Source organism: Homo sapiens, chromosome 17 (assembly GCF_000001405.40).
Source record: "Homo sapiens chromosome 17, GRCh38.p14 Primary Assembly".
In the NCBI taxonomy this organism is placed as follows: Eukaryota; Metazoa; Chordata; class Mammalia; order Primates; family Hominidae; genus Homo; species Homo sapiens.
Window position 1 is genome coordinate 35,833,498 of NC_000017.11, and position 15,217 is coordinate 35,848,714.

Genomic DNA, 15,217 nt, shown 5'->3' on the forward strand with positions numbered 1-15,217 from the left:
AATCTTAACCTTGCTTTGTATTCTTCTAGTCTTTTTTCTTTTTCTCATATTTAGAAAATAACCGTTTGGAAAAAATACTTACTCTAGTTTAGTATTTTTCATGCTGTGCCTCCAGCTTTATGTTATGGTTTAATAGTATCCCTTTGGCTTGGGGTTGGGAAGATTTAGAAATAAGAGTATATTAGATATGTAATAAGCTTGAAAAGACATCTTGTGGAAATAGATCCTTGGGAAAACACTTAGATGGAAACAACATTTAGAACTCTGTGAAATGGAATTTACTGAAAACTTAGAGGTGCTACTGTTTTCCTAAGCACTCTACTTGTGACAGTTAAGTGTAGATTGAGCCCAGGGCTCAGCACATTAGAGACTTAAGGAAGAAATCATTTCTTCAATTTTTCCTCTGCAGTGGTGGTGACCGCGGTGGCTTCAAAAATTTTGGTGGTAAGTGCTGAGTATCCCAAAATGTTTCAGTGGAAATGCTATATAAATCTAAAAGCCACCAATATCCCGCAGATGTAGTCAAAAGTCCTTTCTTACTCTGTTGAGGCTGGTGTGTGTTGTGTGCTTTAAAAAAAATTTTATATATATATATATACACATATATATATCAAAGTAAACATTAAAAAGCCAAAGTTGATCTCAAAACAGTCCAATGGGTTTTCTACACAGTGAATTTGCATGAAAGAGTCTGTGGTGACCAATGAATGACACCTTCACTGGATTTTGACAATTTGTTCTTATAAAGGTAGCTGACATGGTGTTTTTAAATTATTAGGGTTGTCCAATCAGCCTTTACAACCAGAGCTTAACAAAAGTGATACTAGCATAATGCTAAAGTGGCAGGTGCTGTCTAGGACAAGTTAAAGGAAATGTTGACATTCATCTTGATTTCCTAAACTTTAAATAAAACATAATTTATATATTTACTTTGTAAATCTGTGATGGTTGACTTTCAAGGATTTTGGAAGTATTGACTTTTCATGCCTTGGTTTATTACTATTTTTTTTGTTAATGATTTTAAATAAATTGCCTTAAATAGCTCTTTTTTCTTTTCTTTTCCCTTAGGTCACAGGGATTATGGACCCAGAACAGATGCTGGTAAGGTTTATGGTGGTTTGTCACTTTGCCATTAAGAAAATGTTAGTTTTTTTTTTGATGGGAAAAGTGTGTGTTTGGAGGGGCTTAGTACAGGAGGAAGATTTAATTTGATAGTGCTGCCAGAACTGGGGAGCTTTATTTCTTTTTTTTTTTTTTTTTTTTTTGAGATGGAGTTTCGCTCTTGTTGCCCAGGCTGGAGTGCAGTGGCACAGTCTTGGCTCACTGCAGCCCCCACCTGCCGGGTTCAAGCAGTTCTCCTGCGTCTGCCTCCCAAGTAGGTGGGACTACAGGTGCGCGCCACCATGCCCTGCTAATTTTTGTATTTTTAGTAGAGGCAGGGTTTCACCATGCTGGCCAGGCTGGTCTTGAACTCCTGACCTCGAGATCCGCCTGTCTCAGCCTCCCACAGTGCTGGGAATACAGGTGTGAGCCACCACGCCCGGCTGGGGAGCTTTATTTCTAAAGAAGTGTCAGAAAAATTCAGGAGTATTGATGGGACAGTTTGCTGGGGAAAATTGCTGTTTGTGCTTTCCCATATTCTTTCTTCCGTGAAGAAATACTTGAATTTTTACTGCTAGTTAGCATTAATTATTTAAAATTATTGCAAATCAGATTAATGAAAGAATTTATATCATTGTGGAATTAGAAGTAGAAAAACTATTTAAGAAAGAAAATCCTACGTTGGATTGGTAGTCTGCTTAAGTGTGCTGACTTAGTGAATTCAAGAAACCTAAATTCATACATGAGAGAATTGTCTTATTTTGGGTAGAGGTCACTAATTTTCTGTGGCTTTTTATTTAAATGAAATTCAAGGCTACAGATTTACCTGTGGAGCCTGTTGAAAGTTATAATTTAGAGGTTAAAAATCTATTTGAGCTAAAAATTTGAAATCAGAACTTTTGTTTTTATTAAGATGCCAAAGTATTCTATGTGGATGGCAATTTCTGAATTATCCCTTCATGGACTGAATTCTTATACATCTTTCTTTCTTTGTTGTACTAATCCAAAAGTGTGCATGTCAGGTAACATGTACAAGGTGCCTCCGCACTCTGGTATATACAAAGCTTATTGCAATGAATGGGAAACCAGCAGTTCTGCTTTGTGGCTTGCTTGGAAGTTCAAAGTATCAGATTTGGAGAATTTTGTACTAGAGAATCTTAAAAATGTTTAACCGTAAAGAATTAGAGTTCTCCAGAGAAAGAAATGCTAAACTAACTCCATCTCTTCATGACGTTTAGCCCTATGTCTGAATCTGAAGAGTGAGGTTTGTAAGATCATCCTTAATTGGTATATAGGTATTTCACATAGTGTGGACTTGATCCACTTTACTTGAAATTTAGTTGTAAGAATTGATCAACCAAATAATTACTGTGAATACTTTGCATGTTTATATAAGGTTGTTCTTATATTGGTCCTTTCCTTTTGGTCATAGAAACAATTGAATATTGGACAATAAATTATTGTCTTTGATTACTGAACAGAATGTCATAACCAAGGAATATGTAAAATTAACCATCACTTTTTTTCTCTTAGATTCAGAATCTGATAATTCAGATAACAACACAATCTTTGTGCAAGGACTTGGGGAGGGTGTGTCTACAGATCAAGTTGGGGAGTTCTTTAAACAAATAGGAATTATCAAGGTGAGTAAAAATATTATATGTTGAAAATCTCATAATTAATGTTCTGATTACAATACATAGACTATGTAGTAAGCCTACATACTTCAGTACGCCTTGTCTCTTAAAATTTTGTGATGCACATGCTCGTTTATGTCTGTAGACGTTTGCTAAATTTGTTGAATATATGAAGATTTTATTCCTTGCTTGTGTTTACCTTTCCACAGTCTACCTGTGCTTTAGCTTCCATCTTAGGACTCTAAAATTAGTCTCTGCTTAGTTCTTATAACTGTGAGAAATAAAGGAGTTGCTGAGAACATTTTATAGACTGAAATATATGCAAGTTCAAGTTGTTAGAGCTCTTGGGAGGGGTTATTTAATGTTTATGCTAGAGATAATACGTTATCTTGTAATTGCTCATTGTTCACTAAAGCGTCTTTTGCACTATTTTCATGCATATGTTTTTCATCTCTTCAACTAGAAAGCAGCCTTAGTAATGTTTAGATAGTAACAGTTTCTTGAAATCAGTTTACATCTGCCCTTGTTTTGGTGTCTGTGGAATTACTCTTTTTTTTTTTTGAGACAGAATCTCACTGTTTCACCAGGCTGGAGTGCAGTGGCGCGATGTCGGCTCACTGCAGCCTCTGCCTTCCGGGTTCAAGTGATTCTCCTGCCTCAGCCTCTTGAGTAGCTGGGACTACAGGCGCTACCACGCCCAGCTAATTTTTGTATTTTTAGTAGAGATGGGGTTTCACTGTGTTGGCCAGGATGGTCTTGATCTCTTGACCTCAAGTGATCCGCCCACCTCGGCCTCCCAAAGTCCCAGGATTACAGTAGGAATGAGCCACCGTGCCCGGCCTACTCACTTTTTTCTTTCTTTGGGAGTTATAATTTGTTAAGGAATTAATTACACACAAAATATGTAATTTTGTTGTTGTCGTTGTTGTCTTGAGACAGGGTCTTGCTTCATTCCATCCAGGCTGGAGTACAGTGGCATAATCATGGGTCACTGCAGCCTCAATCTCCTGGGCTCAAGTGATCCTCCCAACTCAGCCTCCTGAGTAGTTGGAACCACTAATGCATGTCCTCACACCCAGCTAGTTAAAAATTTTTTTTTTTAGAGATGGAGTCTCCCTATTATTGCCCAGGCTGGTCTTGAGCTCCTGGGCTCAAGTGATCCTCCCACCTCAGCCTCCCACCAAGTGCTGGGATTACAGGCGTGATCCACCATGCCTGGCCTAAATTCACAGAGTTTTGAAAAAGTAAAATTCTCCCTTGTCTTATCCCAGCCAAATCCCAGTGTAACGTTTTAGAAGTTACATATTTACGGCCGGGCGTGGTGGCTCACACCTGTAATCCCAGCACTTTGGGAGGCCAAGGCGGGTGGATCACAAGGTCAGGAGATCAAGACCATCCTGGCTAACACGATGAAACCCTGTCTCTACTGAAAATACAAGAAATTAGATGGGCGTGGTGGCATGCGCCTGTAGTCCCAGCTACTTGGGCGGCTGAGGCAGGAGAGTGATGTGAACCTGGGAGGTGAAGGTTGCAGTGAGCCGAGATTGTGCCACTGCACTCCAGCCTGGGCAACAGAGCGAGACTCCACCTCAAAAAAAAGTTACGTATTTACATGAAGCATTATCTACATTTAATTTCTGTGGATTTAAAGAAATTATAAACTGGATGTGGTGGCTGATTCCTGTAATCAGCACTTAATCACAGCACTTTGGGAGGCTGAGGCAGGAGGATCGCTTGAGGCCAAGGGTTTGAGACCAGCCTGAGCCATATAGCAAGACCCCATCTCTACAACAACAAAAAAGCCGGGCGTGGTGGCACTTGCTTGTAGTCCCAGCTACTCGGGAGGCTGAGGTGGGAGGATCACTTAAGTCCAGGAATTTGAGGCTACATTGAGTATGATCGTGCCACTGCATTCCAACCTGGGTGACAGAGTGAAACCCTGTCTCAATTAAAAAAAATTATACATAGATAAAACAGTATACTATATCATTTTTATAGCTTGGTTTTCACTTAGTGTAGCTTAGAGAGTTATGCTTGTCTAAACCTACAGGTAACTTATTAGGTGCATAGTATTTTATAGTATGAATGTGTGAATTCCTTGTAAAAAAAATAAATCTTTGATTATCTAAATGATACATGATTACTTATTTTAAAAATGCTAACACCAAGTGTTTCTGTTTTTCCTCAGACAAATAAGAAGACCGGAAAACCAATGATAAATCTTTATACAGACAAGGACACAGGAAAGCCAAAGGGGGAGGCAACAGTGTCATTTGATGACCCTCCTTCAGCTAAGGCAGCCATTGACTGGTTTGATGGTATGCCTCATTCGTATAGTTTTCAGCATGAAGTTGGATAAATGTTTTCTAGTCTGAAAGTGAGAATATGCTCTGGGTGACAGTGATTATATTCATGTTTACTTTTGCAGATATTAAGAATACAGGTCAGAATTTTTATGTACCTTTAGAAATGAGATGAGCTCTATCGTTGTTGGTCTAGCATATTTCGTTATATCATGCCTTGTGCATGAGGCTACCCTGATACAGATGTAGAGAGTTGGCCTGGTTGACAGTATGTTATTTTTTCTTTTTAAAAAAATAAATTTAAAAGGTACAGAGATGGCATTTTGTTACATGGATATATTGCATAGTGGTAAAGTCTGGGGTTTTCCTGTATCTATCACTTGAATAATGTACATTTTACCCATTAAGTGATTTCTCATCCCCTGACTTTATAGTTTGAAATTTAGGCCAGGTGGCATTGCTTATGCCTATAATCCCAGTGCTTTGGGAGGCTGAGGCAGGAGGATCAGTTCAGCTCAGGAGTTGGAGACCAGCCTGGGCAACATAGAGCTTGCCTCTACTAAAACAAAAAAAAAATTTTTTTTTTTTTTAAATAACCTGGACGTGGTGGTGTGCAGCTGTGGTCCCAGTTACTTAGGAGTCTGAGGTGGGAGGATCACTTGGGCCCAGGAAGTCGTGGCTGCAGTGAGCTGTGATTGAGTCACTGTGTTCCAGCCTGGGCAACAGAGCGAGAACCTGTCTCCAAAAAAAAAAACCCTATAAATAAATAAAGTAAAATTTAGGCTAATTTCCCTTCAAATATAAAGTTAATACATACTTAGAAGAAATAGACTTTTTTTTTTTTTTTTTTTTTTTTTTTTTGAGACGGAGTCTCGCTTTGTCTCCCGGGCTGGAGTGCAGTGGCGCAATCTCGGCTCACTGCAGGCTCCGCCTCCCGGGTTCACACCATTCTCCTGCCTCAGCCTCCCCAGTAGCTGGGACTACAGGCGCCCGCCACCACGCCCTGCTAATTTTTTTGTATTTTTAGTAGAGACAGGGTTTCACCATGTTAGCCAGGATGGTCTCGATCTCCTGACCTTGTGATCCGCCCACCTCGGCCTCCCAAAGTGCTGGGATTACAGGCGTGAGCCACCGCACCCGGCCGAGATGCTTTTTTTAACAGAAAGTAGAAGAAATGAGTAAAACATCTCTATAGCCCTCTACTCAAAGGTAGCCACTGATAATATTTCTTAATAATTTTCCTTCTGGTGTTTTAAGATGTATCTTGTAATACTCCAAATAGAGTTTTGTCTTACGGTATTTTTCATTTAACATTTAAAGGTAGTCATTTCCCCATGTTACAAATTCATCATTTTTGTTGCACCCTAATTTAACAGTAACTAACACTTACTGCATGTTTACTGAGGTTTATGAGCTAAGCACAACTTTAAGAGCCTTACACGCATTAACTCAATTTAATCTTCATAATAATCTTATGAGACATATGCCCTGTTACTCCCGTTTTACAGAGAGTGAAACTGATGCATAGAGAAACTAAGTAATTTCCAGGATCATAGAGTAAGTCGCAGAGTCAGGATTCAAACTCAGCCGTGCTGGATCTACTCTTTCCAAAGTACTTAACTATGCTGGATTGACAAACACTTGCAGTTCCTTTCAGTTTCAAGATTATTGTACCTCCATCTTCCAAAAACATAATTGCGTTATTTTCCTTTTTTTTTTTTTTTTTTTTTTGAGACTGAGTCTTGCTCTGTTGCTCAGGCTGGAGTGCAGTGGCGCAATCTCGGCTCACTTGAACCTCCGCCTCCTGGGTTCACGCCATTCTCCTGCCTCAGCCTCCCGAGTAGCTGGGACTACAGGTACATGCCACCACGCCCGGCTAATTTTTTATATTTTTAGCAGAGACAGGGGTTTCACTGTGTTAGCCAGGATGGTCTCCATCTCCTGACCTCGTGATCCACCCGCCTCAGCCTCCCAAAGTGCTGGGATTACAGGCGCTCACCACCGCACTGGGCCAGCTCTTTTACTTCTTTAAAGATGAGATTGTAGGCCAGGCGTGGTGGCTCATGCCTGTAATCCCAGCACTTTGGGAGGCTGAGGCAGGTGGATCACAAGGTCAGGAGTTCAAGATCAGCCTGGCCAACATGGTGAAATCCCATCTCTACTAAAAATACAAAAATCAGCCAGGCGCGGTGGTGAGCACCTGTAATCCCAGCTACTCAGGAGGCTGAGGCAGGAGACTTGCTTGAACCCGGGAGTTGGAGGTTGCAGTGAGCCGAGATCACGCCACTGTACTCCAGCCTGGGTGACGCACAGCAAGACTCCGTCAAAAAAAAAAATGAAATTGTAGTACCCTGTCTGTCCCCGTCTCTGTATTCTTTACTTTTTTAGACTAATTTGTCAGACTTCATCACCTTGCTCTTGAAGGCTAAGTCCATTCTTTCTTACTTTGCTGCTTTCATAAGAATGAGAGAAATGAATCATGAAGCTATGTCTTTTGCATATGGTATATTCAGAAATTATAGTGACTTTTGCCCATAGGGCATATGAGCCTTTTAAACCTAACTCCATAGTTCAAATCTTGCCAATTCTTATTTACTACTATTTTTTAAAAAGTTACCAATTGTTATATTACTTTGGAAATGATAAAAAAAATTTCAAATGGTACCAAGGGCATATGGTAAAATATGAGTTTCTTTTTCACCTTTGAATCCCAGTGATCTTGTGTCCCCTAGTAAGCACAGTAGGCAATGCATATAAGCATATGTGTAGATAAATACGTACATGTTACTGCACTTGCGCACGTATTCATTCCCTTAAATAAACAAATGGTACCATACTTCACATATTCTACAGCTGGCTTTTTTTCCCATGTAAAAATATTAGATACAGGTTTTAGTTTTTTTTTCCCCATGGGAACAGGTAGACATGTGCACCTGACTCTTTTTTTTTTTTGACTTGCTGGGCTTAGGTGATCCTCCTACCTTAGCCTCCCAAGTAGCTAGGACCACAGGTGCCACCACACCCAGTTAATTTTTTTGTATTTTTTGTAGAGACAGGGTTTCCCCATGTTGCCCAGGCTGGTCCCAAACTCCTGAGCCCCAAGCTTTCCTTGGCCTCCCACAGTGCTGTGATTGCAAGCTTGAGTCATCACGCCCAGCTTTTTTTTTTTTTTTTTTGGAGAGAGAGTATCACACTGTCTTCCAGGCTAGTACACAGTGGCACGAAGATAGCTCACTGCAGCCTTGAATTCCCAGGCTCAAGTAATCCTCCTGCCTCAGCCTTCTGAGTAGCTAGGACTACAGGCGCATGCCACCATGCCTAGCTAATTAAAAAAATTTTTTCAGAGAAAGGGTCTCATTACGTTCCTCAGGCTTGTCTCAAACTCTTGGCCTCAAGTGAGGCTTCTATCTCAGCCTCCAAAAGTGCTGAGATTACAGATATAAGCCACTGCACCTGGCCTTTTTCTCCACCCCTGACACCATCTCCTTCCCCAGGCTGGTCTCGTGCTCCTGGACTCAAGTGATCTCCCACCTCAGCCTCCTGAGTAGCTGGGAGCTGGTGCTACAGACACATACCACTCCACCTTGTTTTTTGTTTTTGTTTTTTTTTTAAGCTTAGTAAGAAGTGACTGTCTCCCAGTGACAGATATGCTCTTTTCAGTAGATAATGTCACTTTTAGCACTGTTATCTTGACTCTTTGCATTTGAATTTCTGTGAGGACATGTCAGTTACTCCTCTGAAACTAAAGATTTCCAAGACTTTTTCATTTTTGTTGACAGGTGGAGGTATAGAGTAGCATTGCTTCAAAGCTGATTTCTTTTTTCTTAGGAAAAGAATTCCATGGCAACATCATTAAAGTGTCCTTTGCCACTAGAAGACCTGAATTCATGAGAGGAGGTGGAAGTGGAGGTGGGCGGCGAGGTAAGATCCTTGCTGCGTACAGTCCTGGATACTATCCAAGGGTTTAAGTTTGAGTTCATACTCTGTTTCTATTTGTGTGAACTTGCTACTGCTTTTTCTCTCGCTAGGTCTTTTTCCCTCTATCTTAAAATGAGTTCAGGTACTGAATATATTAGGTAAATGAGATATCGTAATAGCTAAGAAAGTAGTGGGAAATGGTTGTAGAAATCCCTTTGGAAAGCTTTATTGTGATTTGCTGTTCACTTGGAAATCAGGAGGCAATTTTTTTTTTTTGGTTTTTGTGTTTCTTTTGAGATGGTGTCTCACTCTGTTGCTCAGGCTGGAGTGGAGTGGCGTGATCTCGGCTCACCACAACCTCCGCCTCCCGGGTTCAAGTGATTCTCCTGCCTCAGCCTCCCAACTAGCTGGGACTACAGGCGTGCGCCACCATGTCCAGCTAATTTTTGTATTTTTAATAGAGATGATTTCACTATGTTGGCCAGGCTGGTCTCAAACTCCTGACCTCATGATCCAGCCACCTTGGCCTTCCAAAGTGCTGGGATTGCAGGCATGAGCCACCGTGCTTGGCGAGGCAATTGTTTTAATGATACCTAATTAGGTAATTAATCTGACCAGTTTTTAAGCTGCCTGATACAGTTACTGCCAGCTTTTTTTTTATTTTTTATTTATTTATTTATTTTTGAGACAGAGTTTCGCTCTTGTTGCCCAGGCTGGAGTACAATGGCGCGTTCTTGGCTCACCGCAACCTCTCCCTCCCGGGTTCAAGTGATTCGCCTGCCTCAGCGTCCCAAGTAGCTGGGATTACAGGCATGCGCCACCATGCCCAGTTAATTTTGTATTTTTAGTAGAGATGGGGTTTCTCCCATGTTGGTCAGGCTGGTCTCGAACTCCCGACCTGAGATGATCTGCTTGCCTTGGCCTCCCAAAGTGCTTGGATTACAGGTGTGAGCCACTGCACCCAGCCCAGCTTCTTTATTTCTATTGGATTCATATTCTTGTCTTTTTTCTTTTTCTGTTTTGTGGGTGGATGTTACTGTGGCCTTTGCATTCATATTCTTACATTTGGAGTTTTTGTCTTCTCACCTAATCTTCTTCATGGAGATTCTCAAACTAAGTAGGGTATAGGTTAGGCATCCTAAGTTTGAAAATCTGAAATTGGAAATGCTCTGGAATCCAAAACTTTGAGCACCGACATAATGCTCAAAGGAAATGGTCATGGTCATTGAAGCATTTCAGGTTTTGGGTTTTTGGATTTGGGCTGCTCAACTCGCAAGTATAAGGCAAATATTTCAAAATCTGAAAAATCCAAAATCAGAGACACTTTTGGTCCCAAGTATTTGGGGGAAGGGATACTCAACCTGTATTACAGAAAATGGACTTTGAAGTTTTCTAGTGCATTATTTGCACTGTGTTGTGTGCCTAGGGTCTGTTTTCAAGGTCCTCTGTTTACTAAGTACAAGACCCAAATCAAAGAATTACAAAGTCCTGGTATAAGGGGTTAATTTGCAGAGTGCTGCCTAAGTATTGATGGGTATCTACTCTTATGTTATCTGATGCTTTTCTTCTGTTTTGTTAATATCTGCTGCTGATTTTTCTCCCCTGGCCCCATCCCCCTAGGCCGTGGAGGATATAGAGGTCGTGGAGGCTTTCAAGGGAGAGGTGGAGACCCCAAAAGTGGGGATTGGGTTTGCCCTAATCCGTAAGTGTCTTGTTTACTTTGGTGAGAGTAGGGGTTGGGATTGGGGCTGTGGAGGATACAGAAAGGGGTTCTGAGTCCATTAGAAACTATATAGGAGCATTATATTTTCCTCCTTTCTTAGGTCATGCGGAAATATGAACTTTGCTCGAAGGAATTCCTGCAATCAGTGCAATGAGCCTAGACCAGAGGACTCTCGTCCCTCAGGAGGAGGTGGGTCAGCCTTTTAATAGCATCTGCATCGTGCTTATCTTCTGACTAGCATTAAGGGGGCTTTACGTTGTTTCTGCTGGCCTCATTGTTTGCATTTCTACCTTGCAGATTTCCGGGGGAGAGGCTACGGTGGAGAGAGGGGCTACAGAGGTCGTGGGGGCAGAGGTGGAGACCGAGGCGGCTATGGTGGAGACAGAAGTGGGGGTGGCTATGGTGGAGACAGAAGCAGCGGTGGTGGCTACAGCGGAGATAGAAGTGGGGGCGGCTATGGTGGAGACAGAAGTGGGGGTGGCTATGGTGGGGACAGAGGCGGCGGCTATGGTGGGGACAGAGGAGGCGGCTATGGAGGAGACCGAGGAGGTGGCTATGGAGGAGATCGAGGTGGCTATGGAGGAGACCGAGGTGGAGGCTATGGTGGAGACCGAGGAGGCTATGGAGGAGATCGAGGAGGTTACGGAGGAGATCGAGGAGGTTATGGAGGAGATCGAGGAGGCTATGGAGGAGACAGAAGCCGGGGGGGCTATGGAGGAGACCGTGGTGGTGGCAGTGGCTACGGTGGAGACCGAAGTGGAGGCTATGGAGGAGACAGGAGTGGTGGCGGCTATGGAGGAGACCGAGGTGGGGGCTACGGAGGAGACCGAGGTGGCTATGGAGGCAAAATGGGAGGAAGGTGAGTATTAGAATGTGTTTATTAACCTTTTTACCTCACTGCACCTAGATTGGGGGATTTGAACCACATTTTAACAATTTTTTGGAACTTGAATTTCCCATTGCCAGTTCTCTCAGGATGGAGAAGATGATTTAGTTTCCTGCTTAGCAATTTCTAAAATTTTGTTTTGGAACTTTTTATTTTTTAACTTTAATTTTTATTTTTTAGAGACAATAAAAATTAAATTTAGTGACAGAGACAGGGTCTTGCTCTGTCATCCAGGCTAGAGTGCAGTGGTATGATCATAGTTCATTGTAACCTCAAACTCTTAGACTCAGGCAACACTCCTGCCTCAGTCTCCCAAGTAGCTGGAACTATAGGTGTGTGCCACCACACCTCGCCAATTTTTTTTATTTTCTGTAGAGACAGGGTCTCACTATGTTGCCCAGGCTGGTCTCAAACTCCTGGCCTCAAGCATTCCTCCTGTCTTGGCCTCCCAAAGTGTTTGGATTACAGATGTGAGCCACAGCACCTGCTGGAAATTCTTTGCAGTGGCGCAGTCTCGGCTCACTGCAAGCCCCGCCTCCTGGGTTCACGCCATTCTGCCTCAGCCTCCCAAGTAGCTGGGACTATGGGCGCCCGCCACCACGCCCGGCTAATTTTTTGTATTTTTAGTAGAGACGGGGTTTCACCATGTTAGACCTCGTGATCCACCCGCCTCGGCCTCCCAAAGTGGTGGGATTACAGGCGTGAGCCACTGTGCCTGTCCACCTGCTGGAAATTCTTATTCATAAATCTTTATTTGTTTCGGTGTATCTGTGTATTATTTTTTTCTCATAAAGATAATTGAGATTGAGAGATAATAACTTGAAACTGTGTAAATCAAGAGTTCCTAATCTAAGTGAAGGAACATACCTTTCATAGGGTGGTTCTTTTTCAGATCATATATACTACCCTGCAGTTGTTTTTCTGGAGATACTGATAACTTTTCCAGATGAAAACCACTGATGGGAATGTCTTGTGCACACGAATGGTGTAGAGGCAGAAGAAGACCAATGATAGAAAGTAACTTCAATTATTATACTAAGGACCTGTATGCCAGCGGCAATATAAGGCAGTGAGAATTAGTATAGAATATGGTTAAGAGCATAAAGTTGGGAAGCAGACTGTCTGGGTTTCAATCCTAACTCTACCACTTATTAGCTGTGTGATCTTAGGAAAGTTACTTAATCCTTTGGAGTGTCAGTATTCTTATCTGTAAAATGGGGCTAATAAGACGTCCTTTTTAGACTTGTATTAGATTACGTTGTACTAGTTGCTGGCCCAGAGTAAGCACTATATAATTTTTAGCTATTAGTAATTATGAGTAACCTAATTACCATCTATTGAACACTGCTTACTGTATGGCCAATACTGTAAAGTGTTCTTATATTCTTTAGTTCTAGTCCTTCTGTCATTCCTATGAAGTAGGTATACTTCCCATTTTACAGAGTCAGTCATTTAGTGTAACTTTTCCAAGGTCACATAGTAAGTGGCAGATCCAGAATTCATACATGTAAGTGCTTGCTCATTCCACTATGCCACTCTCCTATTTAGAGTGCTGGAACTGGGACAGTTTCTGATCTTCTGAAATATTTGTGGTTTGGAGTTTTAAGTGGAAAATTTTTAAGAGAGTGAAGCAAAGCTTCTTCTAGGAACTTTGTGAATCTTAAAGCTGGTAAATTAGACATTTAAGTATCTTCTAGGAGTACAGAAATAAATGAGGCATGGTGTCATTCTTTAGAAATTGTCTAGCTGATGCCAATCACTAGTACCCTGAAGAAGTGTCTAATGCTCCCCCTTCGTAGAAAATTAGAATTTAGTCCGGCTCTTTATTTTTCATTCCTAGAAACGACTACAGAAATGATCAGCGCAACCGACCATACTGATGACTGTTTTGAATGTTCCTTTGTCTCTGACATGATCCATAGTGAAATTGCCAGAGTTTTGCCTGCTGCTTTCCTCGTGGCCTCTTCTTGGGTAGTGAAATTAAGTGACATTTGGATTTTTATTTGGGTGGGAGGGCTGGGACAGTTTTTCTTCTAGAAATGTCTGTTGAGATTTCCCCCTTTAGTTTCCAACCTTCTCCCCAACCCTTGGAGCTAAATGCGTTGTAAAATATTGCCAAAATGAAAAGTGTTTTGTAATACTGCAATAAAGGCTGCTTGTTTTTGTGGACTTTTGTACATACTAGTGCATTGTTCTGTCACACTCAGGACTCAGTTACATTAGACTCTAATCCTAAAGAATTAGGAAATGAATTATATACTTCAGTAAATTAAAATGTTACTTTAAACAATATTTATTGAGCTCCTACTGTGTTTAGTGGTTCCCAGGAATGACAAGTCAGAATCACCTGAAGTTTGTTAAAATTAGATTCCTAGGTTGTTAAATTTAGATTCCTAGATTCCCAGCCCTCTAGGTCTGCTGGATCAGAGCTCAATGAGGTATGGGGAGTTAGGGCTGGAAATACTTATTTAGCTCAAGTTTACCAGGTGATTTTGATATAGTTATTTAGTATCACTTGACAACGATTTATTTAGGGGAGTGTTTTAGATGCTGGGAATATGAAGTTCCAAGGAAAAGAAAGGATTTACAAGCCAGGGTTAAGATGGCAACATATGTATGTTATTTGCTGTTTATTAGAGAACTATTTATTCTACTCTTAACTATGGGTAAGGCACTGGATCAGATTCTAGATATGTTGCTGACCAAGTAAACAGAAAGCATAGTCGATAAGTGCACCAGTAACAAGTTCAAGGTGCTTAGAGGGCTGATTTGAAGGACACTAAATTTAGTCACATGGGAGTAGGGAAAGGCGAATGTGGAGGGAAGACTAGGAGTTCACTAAGTACAGAGGCTGAGAAAATAGTGTTCACTAAGTACAGAGGCAAGAAGATAGTGTTCCCAGAAGGAAATGACATGAACAAATCAGGAGCTAAGACAGTGGGGAGCAGGATCTGCACTTGAGGAGAATTGTATGTAGTTCTTTGTGACTGAAGGGAAGAGTTCAAGGGTGGTCACGCAAAAGAAAAGATTGGAGAGGTAAACAAGCTCTGTGACAAGGTCCTTGCATTTCACTTTTTACCTCCCTCCAAACAGGGAGTCATTAAAAGATGGTAAATGGGTGTGGCATGATCTGATTTGAGTGGCATCGGATGATGATTATGACTGCCTTGTGGGAAGGCTGGACTGGAGACAGCCAGGTAAGGGATTATATTGGCCTTTGAGGCTCAGATAGTGACTAGAGGGAAGGAGATAACTAGATTTGAAAAATCAAGAGGGAAATTTGACAGGATTTAGTTTGATGTCAGAAATAGCGGAGAAGGAAGAGTCTGGTTTCTGGCCTGCGTGATTGGGTAGATATGTTGTTCATTAGGGAAGGAACAGCTTTGCAGGCAAGATGGGAATTAATTCTGTTTTGAATGTGTTGAGTTCAGAGTGCTCATGAAACTTCTAGGTAGAGACATAATTCTGCAGCTCAGAAAGTAGCATTTAATGCCATGTTCCCCTGATTATCTGCCTTACTGAATTACATGTCTGCCTTCTCAACTTGACCTCTACATGTTGGAAGTTTCTCGGGGCTTTTTCTAAGCCCCTTTCTCTTAATCACTTTTATCCTGGGCAAGCTTATCCAGGATATGGCTTTAAATATCAT

At 41.5% G+C, this 15,217-nt stretch overlaps 1 protein-coding gene across 2 annotated transcripts in view; it reads left to right on the forward strand.

Moving 5' to 3' along the window:
• Positions 1-13,745, forward strand: part of TAF15 (TATA-box binding protein associated factor 15) — a 37,759-nt gene extending 24,014 nt beyond the window's left edge. For both annotated transcript variants that reach the window (NM_139215.3, NM_003487.4), the window contains exons 8-16: positions 410-444; positions 1,069-1,101; positions 2,635-2,744; positions 4,927-5,056; positions 8,870-8,962; positions 10,580-10,661; positions 10,783-10,871; positions 10,980-11,541; positions 13,409-13,745. In NM_139215.3, the coding sequence (NP_631961.1) occupies positions 410-444; positions 1,069-1,101; positions 2,635-2,744; positions 4,927-5,056; positions 8,870-8,962; positions 10,580-10,661; positions 10,783-10,871; positions 10,980-11,541; positions 13,409-13,448 (1,174 nt within the window). In that variant the 3' untranslated portion in view covers positions 13,449-13,745. The remainder of the gene's footprint in view (positions 1-409; positions 445-1,068; positions 1,102-2,634; positions 2,745-4,926; positions 5,057-8,869; positions 8,963-10,579; positions 10,662-10,782; positions 10,872-10,979; positions 11,542-13,408) is intronic.